Raw genomic sequence first — 16,600 nt, 5'->3', positions numbered from 1 at the left:
CCAAAGTGTAGCAGTGTGCTCATCTTCACGGATGTCAGTGGACTTACCATGCTTTCCATTATCTGGAAGCAACTGGATTAATAGAATGATAGGTTTGTCAGCATTTCCAGCCACCCTAACACCTATATCTCCCTGTGCACCCTAAGGGACTCCACAGAATGGTGAATTAGATACATATATCCAAAGGAACTACATACATTTGTGTTCCCCCATCCAAACCTCCAATCGTATGTAGTTTAATATTTAAAGTTGCTGAAGTTAGCTGTAGACAAAGGACAAAAATTAGAAGTGCAGAGGGAATGGGTTCCTTCATGTGGGTAAAGGAGAGACTTACAAAACCTGCTTAATGTGGCTTTTTGCAGTCTTTTTGCTGCTCACAGCTGAACCACATGAACTTCTACTGTTTTGGACTCATCCAAACCTCAACATTAGCTTTAAGAGCTCCTTGATTTTCCAGCAGGAGAAAAGTGAACATGCAAAGCTCTCAGGTTCATTGTTATAATCCTCTCAAGGATCAGTCTCATTAGCAGACAGCAGAGTCTTGATCTCTTGCTTCACCAAACTAACCACTTGGCCGAGAGAATTTGCTGTTGGTCCTGGGGGAACTTCTCATATCCCTTGCAAGCTCTTCAAGTATTTGTTCCTTTTCCCCTTTCAGAAAGTTGTGTTTATCTCAGCATGCCATAGTCATCTCCAAAATTAAATAATTGTGACGTATCTAAGATTTTATAGCATTTGTAAACAACATATTAACCTTCCATTTTCATCGATGCTGGTAGAAGGCATGAGACACTGAAGTATGAAAAAAAATACCTACTATTTACTGCTTACCTGGAGGCAAAAGCCTCATATTTGTATTAGTTCTCCTTGTCCATACTACGTTTTTTGAAGGATTTCAAAAGGCTCATATGGACATTGTACATGGGGAAGATTTGTGTCATAGCTGAGCAGACTCAAGACTAAGAAACCTCAATCTTTTTAAAGTAGGTTACATGGAAGCCTGTCCAACCTTTGCGTCACAAAGAAAAATTGTCTTTATTATATTGATTGAGTAATTTATCTGCCATTCACCTGAAGAGAAAAACTACTACCCTTTTTCCAGGTTATTTGTGTACAAAAATCTTTGAAAAATAACGTGGAACAGGACAGGTATGTGATGTAATCCACAACAAAACAACAAACTCTAAGAGACTTGTGGAGAACTACATCTCAGTAGCATGCATCTTTCCCATTAAATGTTGCACTAAGCAATCCTGTGATAAAAGACAATCCATTGAAGACTTTCGACATGAAGACTAACCTCGGTTGTTTTGTGTCGTGGGATTGTTCAAGTGATTCTCCAGTGTCAGCCTCCAAAGTAGCTGGGAATACAGTCTCCCAAGACCACGCTCAGCTTATTTTTGTATTTTTAGTAGAGGCGGGGTTTTACCATATTGGCCAGACAGGTCTCGAACTCCTGATCTCAGGTGGTCCGCCTGCCTTGGCCTCACAAAGTGCTAGGAATATAGGCATGAGCCTCCGTGCCCGGCCCCAGAAATGAAAGTTCTAGTGCGCAGTAATGTAATTCTGACAGATAAATGACAGGTGAGAGTAAGTGAAAAATCTAACACAATTTAACATTTTTACATATTTAGACATATTGAAATTGGTTAGCTTATTGGAAAAAGTTAAATGACTAGTAATATATACAGCATATTTATTCTGAATGAATTGCTAATCTAGATTTGAGACATGAAATAATTATTTTTACAACACAGAAACATAAACTGCATTTCCATATACAATTAACAATTTGACAGTAAATTAAGAAAACAATTGTTCGCAACAACATTAAAATAATATAATTCTTAGCAATAAATTTAATAAGGAGGTAAATATCTTGTACAATAAAAAATACAGGATCAGAATGTTTATGAAAAAAACTAAAAAGGACTTAAATAACTGGCAACAAATTCCATGTTCCTGAACCGGAAGATTTAATGAAGTTAAGATGACAATACCACTGCCCAAAGGAGTGTACAGATGTACTGTAATCCCAAGTTTTCATTTTTCCAACTTTTCTTCTGCAAAAAGAAAATAGCTCATTTAAAACTTCATATGGAATTTGAACATCCTCTGAATGTACAGAATAATCTTGAAAAGAAGGACAAAATTAGGTGGCTCACAATTTTAAATTTGAAAACATAAAAAGCTACTAAAATTATAACAGTTTGATAGTGGCATAAGAACAATTGTGGAGATCAAATAAATAAAATAGATACTCCAAAAAACCCTTTCATAAATTATTGTTTGTCTTTTTAAAAGTGTGTCTTAATCATTATGTAAAGACAGTTTGTTACACAAGAAATGCTGGGAAAACAAGTCCACATTTAAACCAGTAAAGTTGAATCTTTATCACATTCCAAGTAGAAAAATTAAATAAAAATTGATTAAAGATATAAAAACAAGTGTTAAACTTTAGTGGTTTCTAATAGTTGTTTTTATTTAACTGGGGACAGCACTAACATGAACAACTTTATACACACAAACTAGAAAACTTTAACGAAATAAATAGATTCCTAGATATACACACTCTCTCAAGATTAAGCCAGGAAGACAATGATTTCCTGAACAGACCAGTAAAAAACTCTGATATTAAATAGGTAATAAGTAGCTTGCCAATCAAAAAAAAAAGCTCTGGACTTTATGGACTTACAGCCAAATTCTACCAAATGTACAAAGAAGAGCTGGTACAATTCCTACAGAAACTATACCCAAAAATTGAGAAGGAGGGTCTTCTCCCCAACTCATTCTATGAGGACAGCATGATCTTGACACCAAAACAGGCAGAGACACAACAAAAACACAAAAAATTAGCCGGGCTTGGTAGCAGACACCTGTAGTCCCAGCTACTTGGGAGGCTGAAGCAGGAGAATGGCGTGAACTCAGGAGGCAGAGATTGCATTAAGCAGAGATCGCGCCAGTGCAATCCACTCCAGCCTGGGCAACAGAGGGAGACACCGTCAAAAAAAAAAAAAAAAAAGAAAGAAGGGAAAGAAAACTTCAGGCCAATATTCTTGACGAACATCAATACAAAAGTTCTCAACAAAATATTTGGGAGGCAAATCCAGCAGCACATCAAACAGGTAATCCGTCATGATCAAGTAGGCTTCCTCCTTAGGACGCAAGGTTGGTCCATCATGTGCAAATCAATAAATGTAATACATTACATAAACAGAACTAAAAACAAAAAAAAGATGATTATCTCAATAGACGCAGAAAATAATAAAAGCCGTCTATAAGAAACCCACAGCCAACAATGTGTTGAATGGGCAAAAGCCGGGAACATTATTTTTTAAAACCAGTAGAAGGCAAGAATGCCCTCTCTTGCCATTTCTATTCAACTTAGTATTGACAGTACTGACCAGAGCAATCAGGCTAGAGAAAGAAATCCGAAGAACATCCAAATAGGAAGAGAGAAAGCCAAACTATTTCTGTTTGCAGATAACATAATTCTCTATCTAGAAAACCCTGTAGTTTCATCTACAAAGCTTCTTTAGTTAACAAACAGCTTCAGCAAAGTTTCAAGATACTAAATCAATGTGCAAAGATCACTAACATTTTTCTACACCAACGATAGCCACACTGACAGCAAAATCAGAAAGGCCATCCCATTCACAATTGCCACTAAAATAATAAAATATCTGGAAATGCAGCTCACCAGGGAGGTGAAAGAGCTCTACAATGAGATTTACAAAACACTGCTCAAAGAAATCAGAGAAGATACAAACAAATGGAAAACCATCCCATGCTCACGGATAGGAAGATCCAATATCACTAAAATGGCTATACTTCACAAAGAAATTTACAGATTTAATACTATTTCCATCAAACTGCCAATGAAATTTTTTACGGAGCTAGAAAAAACTATTTGAAAACTCATATAGGCCGGGGGCTGTGGCTCACACCTGTAATCCCAGCACTCTGGGAGGCCAAGGGGTGTGGATCATGAGGTCAGGAGATCCAGACCGTCCTGGCCAACATGGCAAAACTCCTTCTCTACTAAAAATACAAAAAATAGCTGGGAGTAATGGCAGCGCTTGTAATCCCAGCTACTTGGGAGGCTGAGGCAGGAGAATCCCTTGAACATGTATATAATATATACGTATGTTATACATATATTTATTATACTTTAAGTTCTAGGGTACATGTGCACAACGTGCAGGTTTGTTACTTATGTATACATGTGCCATGTTGGTGAGCTGCACCCATTAACTCGTCATTTACATTAGGTATATCTCCAAATGCTATCCCTCCCCCCTCCCCCCCCAACAACATTCCCCAGTGGGTAATGTTACCCTTCCTGTGTCCAAGTGTTCTCATTGTTCAATTCCCACCTATAAGCGAGAACATGTGGTGTTTGTTTTTTTTTGTCCTTGTGATAGTTTGCTGAGAATTATCTTTTCCAGCTTCATTCATGTACACACAAAGGACATGAACTCATCATTTTTTATGGCTGCATAGTATTCCATGGTGTATATGGGCCACATTTGCTTGATCCAGTCTATCATTGTTGGACATTTCGGTTGGTTCCAAGTATTTGCATTGTGAGTAGTGCCACAATAAACATACGTGTGCATGTGCCTTTATAGCAGCACCTAACATGACTTTTCTTATTTTCTTAGATTGTGAGTTTCTTTCAGACTAGGACTCTGCTGAGTCAGCTCTCTGTCCTCCCTGTACTCCTTATCACAGTGCTTGGCTATGACAGATGTTTAATAAATATTTGAGAAACACAGTAAATCCATATGAGTGACACAATGTTACGGAAAACTCTGGTCATTCAACAAATTCTATTCTCCCATTTATTAGGGACACAGCAGAATTACATTTCTTAGCCTCATTTGCATTAGATGTGGAAACGTGACCAGTTATTGTTAATGGTTGTAGAGTGAGATGGATGTGAGTCACATTAAGATGAGTCCATCAAGTCTTCTCGCATGCATTTCTTAAAGTACTTTATTTTCAGGGGACTGAACACAAACGGCAACCACGACTCATGGATGATGAAGACAAATAATGAAAGAACTTTGAGTTTCTGAATGACCACATGGAGAGGAGGTGCCTTTTCAATTTGGCCACCGAACAACTCTGTGATGTGTGCTAAAAAGTGTTGTTAATCTACTGCAAATTAGGGATGTGCTGGTATTTGACAGTTCAGCATAATCTAAAACATGCACTTAAAAACCTATTCACTGAATTAATTTAAAAGGCATTTTTATAGTACACTTAAGATGACAAACGTTAAGGTGGTCTTGCAATTTTTACCCTTCCATTTTGACCGTACTATGTTATATTAGAGAACTTGAGCCACATAAATGATCAGTTTTTATTGCGTCTATTTGATTCTTCTCTCTTTTCTTCTTTACTAGTCTTGCTAGCAGTCTATCAATTTTGTTGATCGTTTCAAAAACCAGCTCCTGAATTCACTGATTTTTTGAAGGGTTTTTTATGTGTCTATTTCTTTCAATTCTGCTCTGATCTTAGTTATTTCTTGCCTTCTGCTAGCTTTTGAATGTGTTTGCTCTTGCTTCTCTAGTTCTTTTAATTGTGATGTTAGGGTGTCAATTTTAGATCTTCTCTGCTTTCTCTTGTGGGCCTTTAGTGCTATAAATTTCCCTCTACACGCTGCTTTGAATGTGTCCCATAGATTCTGGTATGTTGTGTCTTTGTTCTCGTTGCTTTCAAAGAACATCTTTATTTCTGCCTTCGTTTCGTTATGTACCCAGTAGTCATTCGGGAGCAGGTTGTTTGGTTTCCATGTAGTTGAGCGGTTTTGAGTGAGTTTCTTAATCCTGAGTTCTAGTTTTATTGCAGTGTGGTCTGAGAGAGAGGTTTTTATAATTTCTGTTCTTTTACAATTTGCTGAGGAGTGCTTTACTTCCAACTATGTGGTCAATTTTGGAATAAGTGCGGTGCGGTGCTGAGAAGAATGTATATTCTGTTGATTTGGGGTGGAGAGTTCTGTAGATGTCTATTAGGTCTGCTTGGTGCAGAGCTGAGTTCAATTCCTGGATATCCTTGTTAACTATCTGTCTCATTGATATGTCTAATGTTGACAGTGGGTGTTAAAATCTCCCATTACTATTGTGTGGGAGTCTAAGTCTCTTTCTAGGTCTCTAAGGACTTGCTTTATGAATCTGTGTGCTCCTATATTGGGTGCATATATATTCAGGATAATTAGCTCTTCTTATTGCATTGATCCCTTTATCATTACGTAATGGACTTCTTTGTCTCTTTTGATCTTTATTGTTTTAAAGTCTGTTTTATCAGACACTAGGATTGTAACCCCTGCCTTTTTCTGTTTTCCATTTGCTTGGTAGATCTTCCTCCATCCCTTTATTTTGAGCCTATGTGTGTCTCTGCACGTGAGATGCGTTTCCTGAATACAGAACACTGATGGGTCTTGACTCTTTATCCAATTTGCCAGTCTGTGTCTTTTAATGGGAGAATTTAGTCCATTTACTTTTAAGGTTAATATTGTTTTGTGTGCATTTGATCCTGTCATTATGATGTTAGCTGGTTATTTTGCTCATTAGTTGATGCAGTTTCTTCCTAGCCTCGATGGTCTTTACAACTTGGCATGTTTTTGCAGTGGCTGGTACCGGTTGTTCCTTTCCATGTTTAGTGCTTCCTTCAGGAGCTCTTTTAGGGCAGGCCTGGTGGTGACAAAATCTCTCATCGTTTGCTTGTATGTAAAGGATTTTATTTCTCCTTCACTTATGAAGCTTAGTTTGAATGAATATGAAATTCTGGATTGAAAATTCTTTTCTTTAAGAATGTTGAATATTGTCCCCCACTCTTCTGGCTTGTAGAGTTTCTGCCGAGAGATCAGCTGTTAGTCTGATGGGCTTCCCTTTGTGGGTAACCCGACCTTTCTCTCTGGCTGCCCTTAACATTTTTTCCTTCATTTCAACTTTGGTGAATCTGACAATTATGTGTCTTGGAGTTGCTCTTCTTGAGGATTATCTTTTTGGTGTTCTCTGTATTTCCTGAATTTGAATGTCACCCTCCCTTGCTAGATTGGGGAAGTTCTCATGGATAATATCCTTCAGAGTGTTTTCCAACTTGCTTCCATTCTCCTCATAACTTTCAGGTACACCAATCAGATGTAGATTTGGTCTTTTCACACAGTCCCATATTTCTTGGAGGTTTTGTTCATTTCTTTTTATCTTTTTCTCTCTAAACTTCTTTTCTCACTTCATTTCATTCATTTGATCTTCCATCACTGACACCCTTTCTTCCAGTTCATTGAATTGGCTACTGAGGCTTGTGCATTCATCACGTACTTCTCGTACATTGGTTTTCAGCTCCATCAGGTCCTTTACGAACTTCTCTGCATTGGTTATTCTAGTTAGCTATTCATCTAATTTTTTTAAAGGTTTTTCACTTCTTTGCCATGGGTTTGAACTTCCTCCTTTAGCTCGGAGTAGTTTGATCGTCTGAAGCCTTCTTCTCTCAACTCGTCAAAGTCATTCTCTGTCCAGCTTTGTTCCATTGCTGGTGAGGAGCTGTGTTCCTTTGGAGGTGGAGAGATACTCTGATTTTTAGAATTTTCCGTTTTTCTGCTCTGTTTTTTCCCCATCTTTGTAGTTTTCTCTCCTTTGGTCTTTGATGATTGTGATGTACAGATGGGATTTTGTTGTGGATGTACTTTCTGTTTGTTAGTTTTCCTTCTAACAGTCAGAACCCTCAGCTGCAGGTCTGTTGGAGTTTGCTGGAGGTCCACTCCAGACCCTGTTTGCCTGGGTATCAGCAGTGGAGGCTGCAGAACAGCGGATATTGGTGAAAAGCAAATATTGCTGCCTGATTGTTCCTCTGGAAATTTTGTCTCAGAGGAGTACCCGGCCGTGTGAGGTGTCAGTCTGCCCCTACTGGGGATGCTTCCCAGATAGGCTACTCGGGGGTCAGGGACCCACTTGAGGAGGCAGTCTGTCTGTTCTCAGATCTCCAGCTGCATGCTGGGATAACCACTACTCTCTTCAAAGCTGTCAGACAGGGACATTTAAGTCTGCAGAGGATTCTGCTGCCATTTGTTTGGCTATTCCCTGCCCCCAGAGGTGGAGTCTACAGAGTCAGGCAGGCCTCCTTGAGATGCAGTTGGCTCCACCCAGTTGGAGCTTCCTGGCTGCTTTGTTTACCTACTCAAGCCACGGCAATGGTGGGCGCCCCTCCCCCAGGCTTGTTGTTGCCTTGCAGTTTGATCTCAGACTGCTGTGCTAGCAATGATTGTGGCTCTGTGGGCGTAGGACCCTCTGAGCCAGGTGCAGGATATAATCTCCTGGTATGCCGTTTGCTAAGACCTTTGGAACAGTACAGTGTTAGGGTGGGAGTCACCCGATTTTCCAGGTGCAATCTGTCACCCCTTTCTTTGACTAGGAAAGGGTATTCCCTGACCCCTTGCACTTCCTGGGTGAGGCGATGCCTCACCATGCTTTGGCTCACATGGGGTGCGCTGCACCCACTGTCCTGCACCCACTTTCTGACACTCCCCAGTGAGATGAGCCCGGTACCTCAGTTGGAAATGCAGAAATCACCTGTGTTCTGCATTGCCGATGCTGGGAGTTCTAGACTAAGGCTTTTCCTATTCGCCCATCTTGGCTCCACCCCCTCTCTAATTAAATTTTAATGTGAATAGTCTGAAATTATTTTTTCTATATCCTTCAGTTTTTTCATAATTCTTCTCTAACTTTTAGGTTCTATGTTTATGCCCCTTATATTTTCCAGAAATGTTTCTGAAGATTATTGCCCATTTTAAAGTTAAACTAATTTTTTATTTAGTTTTTTGTTTATTCTGTATTCTGCTTATCAATCGCTTGTCAGCTGTGTAGTTTGCACATATTTCCTCTCATTTTCTTTCTTTTTTTTTGAGACAGTCTTGCTCTGTCACCCATGCTGGAGTGCAGTGGCACGATCTCAGCTCACTGTAACCTCCACCTCCTGGGTTCAAGAGATTCCCTGGCCTCAGCCTCCTGAGCAATTGGGCTTTCAGGAACCACGCCCGGCTAATTTTTGTATTTTTAGTAGACACAGTGTTTCACCATGTCAGCCAGGCTGGTCTAGAACTCCTGACCTCAGGTGATCCACCAGCCTCAGCCTCCCAAAATACTGAGTTTATAGGTGTGAGCCATCGTCCCTGGCCAATAGAATATTATTTATACAATGGAGTATTAGCTAGCCATAAAAATAAATACAGAACTGATATGTGCCACAACATGGATAAATAATGAAAACACGCTCAAAGAGAAAAGCCAAAGAAAAAAGGTCACATATTATATTATTATATTTCTATAAAGTGACTAGAATAGAAAACTAGAAATAGAAGCCGGGTGTGATGGCTCACGCCTGTAATCCCAGCACTTTGGGTGGCCGAAGCAGGCAGATCACGACGTCAGGAGATCGAGACCATGCTGGCTAACATGGTGAAACCCCGTCTCTACTAAAAATACAAAGAAAAATAGCTGGGCGTGCTGACAGGCATCTGTAGTCCCAGCTACCCTGGAGGCTGAGGCAGGAGAATGGCGTGAACCAGGGAGGTGGAGCTTGCAGCGAGCCGAGATCGTGCCACTGCACTCTAGCATGGGTGACAGAGTGAGACACCAAAAAAAAAAAAAAAAAAAAAGGAAAGAAAGAAAGAGAGTACTAGAGATAGAAAGTCAATCAGTGGTTACCAAGGAAATTCGGTGGATGAATGATAAATTACTGCTTAATGGATATGGAGTTTTTTTTGTGAAAGGGTGATGAAACTATTTTGGAATTTGATAGGGGTGACAGTTGCATAGCATTGTAAATAAACTGAAAAGCACTGAATTTTACACTTTATATTAGATAGTATGTAGAACTCTATATTGTCTAAATTTTAGCTGACTAAAACATTTTAACAAGCAAAGAAAAATAAACTGTAGGCTTTGTGTGGTGGCTCACACCTATAATCTCAGTTTTTTTCAGAGGCTGATGCAAGCAGATCACGAGGTGAAGAGATCGAGACCATCCTGGACAACATGGCGAAACCCCGTCTCTACTAATAATACAAAAATTAGCCAGGCTTGGTGGCACGCCCTTATAGTCCCAGCTACTCAGGAGGCTGAGGCAGGAGAATCACTTGAACCTGGGAGGTGGAGGTTGCAGTGAATCACTTGAACCCGGGAGGTGGAGGTTGCAGTGAGCCGAGATCATGCCACTCCACTCCAGTCCCGTGAAAGAGCGAGAAGAGAGAGACTCTGATAAAGAAAGAAAGAAAGAAAGAAAGAAAGAAAGAAGAAAGAAAGAAAGAAAGAAGAAAGAAAAAAGAAAATAAGGAAAGAAAGAAAAGAAAGGGAGGGAGGAAGGAAGGAGAAAGAAAGAGAAAGAAAGAAAGAAAGAAAGAAAGAAAAGAAAGGAAGGAATGAAGGAAGAGGAAAGAAAGAAAGAAGAAAGAAAGAAACGGAAGGAAGGAATGAAGGAAGAACAAAAGAAAGAGAAAGAAGAAAGAAAGGAAGAAAGAAAAGAAAGGAAGGAGAAAGAAAGAAAGAGAAAGAAAAAGAAGGAAAGAAAGAAAGAAGAAAGAAAGAAAAAGAAAGAAGAAAGAAAGAAAGAAGAAAGAAAGAAAGAAAGAAAGAAAGAAAGAAAGAAAGAAAGACAGAAAAAAGAAATACTATGAAACAGGAGGGCAAATGAGGGAGCCCTGGAAAACGATTCTGTCTCCACTTTCAAAAAAGATCGCCCCCTCCAAAAAAAAGATCCCCAAAGCTCTGACCGAGAAGGTCTTCTCCTTGGATCCCAGAGCAGTGGTCTGAGGATCTGTCACATTCTACACCAGCCTGAGTGCTCAGTCCCGCACACCCCTAGGCCACTTTCTGCTCTGAAAGACCTTCGGAGGACACAGAGCAATTTCCAAAGTTCTGAGAGTACAGTGGTAATTGATAGACAGCAAGGTCAACTCACTTCTTTAAGCCTTTCAAATTTAAGGGTCACACAGTTCAATTATGTCAATTTTTACAGGGAAAAATTGAAGGTTTTCACTACTGTATTCCTCTCCATATTGGGTGTAGGGGGATTCCTTACCATTTTAATTATGCAGATTAATGAATGGAGAAAGTAAGGTTTTGTCCTTGGAAAGCTATCCTGGTGTTGGCTGCAGCCCAGTCAGATCCATGGAAGCCTTGAGCCTCTCAAGCCATCAGCCTATTGCCTTCCCCTGCCCATGTTATGGGTCCTGGGCATGTTACCAGAAGATGGGGTGCTTCTACCCCATGACAAAGCTGCCCCTATCCTCTATCTTTTTTCTTCTCATCACTCCATCAGCGTTAACTCCTCTTATGACCTTTAGCCTGAGAAGTCTGTGTGTGTATGCACAAACCTGTGGAAGTCTAATGATGCAGACATGAGTTTGCTTCATATGACGAGAAAATTGGCAAAAATCCCCAGGATCTCAGGGACTCATTCCCAAAACAAACCCCATGAGAGTGTTGAGCCCTGGCCTAGGAGGTCAGAATGCTCTTTTTTCCCTTGGACTCTGCCCACTTCATCATCTCTGGGCCAGTCCCTGCTTCTCTCCAGACCTCAGTTTTTCAGATATCCAATGAGATGTGAGATGTCAAAATGCTTAAGCCACAGCTCAACATGCATATGGTCTAACGTCCCTACCAACTAGGATTGGTGTAGCAAGGCTGTGATCAGGGTGTTCCCAGATCTTCCTCACTTGGGAAGAAATAGATGGGTTCTGCACTGGGCACATGGACCTTCTGTTCAAGAAGGGTCATACACACTTGATCTTTCAAGGCCCACAGACAATGTGTGCAAGTGAGCCCCACCTCCACCCCCCAACAGCTTCCCATGGAGCATAACAATATGTCCCCTGTCCTCTGAGTCTGGAAAGTAGTGACATCCTCACTTAACACATGGATTGATGGACCCTTTGTATAATTAAATCTTCCCCACTACTGCCTCCACCACTACGCAGATAGAAAAAAGTCTTAGGAAAGTGACATAACATCCAGAATTACACAGAGATTCCATGGCAAAGCTAGCACTTTAGTTAGGATTACATTTTCCTACATATAGAAGAAAACCCAGACCGGGTGCTGTAGTTCACGCCTGTTATCCCAACACATTGGGAGGTTGAGGCAGACGGATCACCAGAGGTCTGGAGTTTAAGACCAGCCTGACCAACATAGAGAAACCCAGTCTCTACCAAAAATACAAAATTTTCCAGGCGTAGTGGTGCATGCCTGTAATCCCTGCTTCTTGAGAGGCTGAGGTAGGAGAATCGCTTGAACCCGGGAGGTAGAGATTGTGGTGAACCGAGATCGCGCCATTGCACTCCAGTCTGGGCAATAAGAGTGAAACTCCGTCTCAAAAAAATTAAAAAAGAAAACCCAATATAATAGTGCAGATAAGAGAGAGAATGCTTTCTTTCTCATAAATAAGGATGTTAGAGCTGGGCAGTCTGACTCTGAACTGTACACGAAGGTAGTCAAAAATAGTCTGTCATTTTGCTAAAATGTTTTTCTTTTTTGAACTTTGTTTTAAGTTCAGGGGTATATGGGCAGGATGTGCAGGTTCTTTAAATATGGAAACATACGTCCCGAAGTTTGGTTGTGCAGATTGTTTTATCACCCAGGTATTAAGTCTACTAACTATTAGTTATTTTTTCTGATTCTCTCCCTCCTCTCACCCCCTACCTCCTGATAGGCCCTGGTGCGTGTTGCTCCCCTCCATGTTTCTGTGTGTTCTCATCATCTACCCTCCACTTATAAGTGAGAAAATGTGGTATTTGGTTTTCTGTTTCTGTTAGTTTTTTAAGGATAATGGCCTCCAGCTCCATCCATGTCCCTACAAAGGACATAATCTTGTGCTTTTTTATGGCTGCATAGTACTCCATGTTGTATATGAACTACGTTTTCTTCAACCAGTCTATTATTGATGAACATGTAGGCTGATTTGATGTCTTTGCTATTGTGAATAGGGCTGTGATGAACTTGTGCGTGCAGGTATCTTTATAATAGAATGACTTATATTTGTTTGGGTATATACCCAGTAATGAGATTGCTAGGTCAAATGGTATTCTTTTCTTTAGGTCTTTGAAGAATCACCACACTGTCTTCCACAACGTTTGAACTCGACCAACAGGGTAAAAATGTTGCTTTTTCTCCACAACTTTGTCAGCATCTGTGATTTTTTGATTTTTTCATGGTAACCATTATACCTGGTATAAAATGATATCTCATTGTGGTTTGGATTTACATTTCTCTAACGGTCAGTGATGTTGAACTTCTGTTTCATACGCTTATTGGCTGCATGTATGTCTTCTTTCAAGAAGTGTTTCTGTGTGTCCTTTGGCCAATTTTTAATAAGGTTGTTTGTTTTTCTCGTGTAAATTTATGTTCCTTATGGATGCTAGAAATTAGATTATTGTCAGATGCACAGTTTGCAAAAATTTTCTCCCATTCTATACATTGTCTGTTTACTCTGTTGATAGTTTCTTTTGCTGTGCAAAAGCTCTTTAGTTTAATTAGATCCCATTTGTCAATGTTCTCTTTGTTCTAATTGCTTTTGCGCCTTCATCATAAAATATTTGCCCATGCCTATGTCCTGAATGGTATTGCCTAGGTTGTCTTCCAAAGTTTTTATAGTCTTGGGTTTTACATTTAAACCATGTTGAGTTTATTGTTGTATATGATGTAAGGAATCTTTCTTTATTTTTTAAATTTAAATTGGGTTCTGAAGTACAAGTGCAGAATGTGTAGGTTTGTTACATTGGTATATGTGTGCCATGGTGGTTTACTGCACCTATCAGCCCGTTATCCAGGCTTCAAGTCCCACATGCATTAGCTAGTTATCCTAATGCTCTCCCTCCCTTCGACTCCCATTCCCTGACTAGCCCCAGTTGTGTTGTTTCCCTTCCAGTGTCCATGTGTTCTTATTGTTCAACTCCCACTTATGAGTGAGAATATGCGGTGGTTAGTTTTCTGTTCCTGTGTTAGTTGCAGAGGATGATGGAGGAAGGGGTTCAGTTTCAATTTTTTGCACATGGCTAGGCAGTTATCCCAGCACCATTTATTGAGTACAGAGTCGTTTTTTCATTGCTTGTTTTTGTCAGGTTTGTCGAAGATCAGTTAGTTGTAGGTGTGCAGTCTTATTTCTGGGTCCTCTATTCTGTTTCATTGGTCTGTGTGTCTGTTCTTGTACCAGTACCATGCTGTTTTGGTTTCTGTAGCCCTGTAGCACAGTTTGAAGTTGGGTAGTGTGATGCCTCCAGCTTAGTTCTTTTTGTTTGGGGTTGTCTTGACTATTCAGGCCTTTGTTGGTTCCATATAAATTTTAAAATAGCTTTTCTAGTTTTGTGAAAAATGTCATTGGTAGTTTAACGGAAATACTATTAACTCTATAAATTTCTTTGTGGAGTGTGTCTACTTTAACAATATTAACTCTTTCTATCCATAAGCATGAAATGTTTTTCTATTTGTTTATGTCATGTCTGATTTCTTTGAGAAGTGGTTTATAGTTCTCCTTGTAGTGGCCTTTCACTTCTCTTGTTAGATACATTCCTTGGTATTTTATTCTTTTTGTGGTAACTGTGAATGAGTGTTCATTCACGATTTTGCTCTTGGCTTGACTGTTGTTGGTATATAAGGATTTAGTGCTAGTGATTTTTGCCCATTTATTTTGTATCTTGGGACTTTGTTAAAGATATTTATCAGCTTAAGAAGCTTTGGGGTTGAGACAATAGGGGTTTTCAAGATATAGAATCATGTCTTCTGACATCAGGTGTTGTTTAATTTCTTTTCTTTCAATTTGAATGCCTTTTTCTCTTACCTGATTGCTCTGCCCAGTACTTCCAATACTATCTGAAATAGGAGTCATGAGAGAGGGCATCCTTGTCTTGTGCCCGTTTTAAAAGGGAATGCTTTCAGCTTTTGCCCTTTCAGTATGATATTGGCTGTGGGTTTGTCATACATGGTTCTTATTATATTGAAGTATGTTTTTTTCAATACCTAGTTTATTGAGAGTTTTTACAAGAATGGATGTTGAATTTTATGGATGCAAAGATTTATCTGCATCTATTCAGACAATCATGTGGCTTTTGTCTTTAGTTCTGTTTATGTGATAAATCACATATTGATTTGTGTACGTTGAATTAAAGTTGCATCCCACAGATGGAGCCTACTTGATTGTGGTGGATAAGCTTTCTGATGCGCTGCTGGATTTGGTTTGCCCCTATTTTGTTAAGAATGTTTGCATAAATGTTCATCAAAAATATTGGCATGAAGTTTTTTTTTTTCTTTTTTTATTTTATTATTATTATTATACTTTAAGTTTTAGGGTACATGTGCACAATGTGCAGGTTAGTTACATATGTACGCATGCACCATGCTTGTGTGCTGCACCCATTAACTCGTCATTTAGCATTAGGTATATCTCCCAATGCTATCCTTCTCCCCTCCCCCCTCATCACAACAGTCCCCAGAGTGTGATGTTCCCCTTCCTGTGTCCATGTGATCTCATTGTTCAATTCCCACCTATGAGTGAGAACATGCGGTGTTTGGTTTTTTTGTTCTTGTGATAGTTTACTGAGAATGATGATTTCCAATTTAATCCGTGTCCCTACAAAGGACATGAACTCATCATTTTTTATGGCTGCATAGTATTCCATGGTGTATATGTGCCACATTTTCTTAATCCAGTCTATCATTGTTGGACATTTGGGTTGGTTCCAAGTCTTTGCTATTGTGAATAGTGCCGCAATAAACAAACGTGTGCATGTGTCTTTAAAGCAGCATGATTTATAGTCCTTTGTGTATATACCCAGAAATGGGATGGCTGGGTCAAATGGTATTTCTAGTTCTAGATCCCTGACGAATTGCCACACTGACTTCCACAATGGTTGAACTAGTTTACAGTCCCACCAACAGTGTAAAAGTGTTCCTATTTCTCCACATCTCCTCCAGCACCTGTTGTTTCCTGACTTTTTAATGATTGCCATTCTAACTGGTGTGAGATGGTATCTCATTGTGGTTTTGATTTGCATTTCTCTGATGGCCAGTGATGGTGAGCATTTTTTCATGTGTTTTTTGGGTGCATAAATGTCTTCTTTTGAGAAGCGTCTGTTCATGTCCTTCGCCCACTTTTTGATGGGGTTGTTTTCTTCTTGCAAATTTTTTGAAGTTTTGTTTTTTTTCTTGTGTGTCTGCCAGGTTTTGGTACCAGGATGATGTGGTCTCATAGAAAGAGTCGGGAAGGAAGCCCTCTGTTTCAGTTTTTTGAAATAATTTTAGTGGGAATTGTACCAGTTCTTCTTCATAAATGTCATAACCTTCAGCTTTTAATCTTTGTGTTTCTGATCTTTTTGTGGTTTGTAGGCTATTTATTACTGCCTGAATTTCAGAGCCTGTTGTTTGTCTTTTCAGGGATTCAATTTCTTCCTGGTTTATTCTTGAAGGGTGTATGTGTCCAGAAATTTATCCATTTCTACTGAATTTGTTATCTTATAGGCATAGAGGTGTTTATGATATTTTCTGATGGTTATTTTTATTTCTGTGGGGTCAGTGGTAACCCTTATTATTTCTGATTGTGTTCATTT

The sequence above is a fragment of the Homo sapiens genome (assembly GCF_000001405.40).
Source record: "Homo sapiens chromosome 22 unlocalized genomic scaffold, GRCh38.p14 Primary Assembly HSCHR22_UNLOCALIZED_CTG3".
In the NCBI taxonomy this organism is placed as follows: Eukaryota; Metazoa; Chordata; class Mammalia; order Primates; family Hominidae; genus Homo; species Homo sapiens.
The sequence above is the reverse complement of the archived record's forward strand: the minus strand, read 5'-3'. Positions refer to the sequence as shown.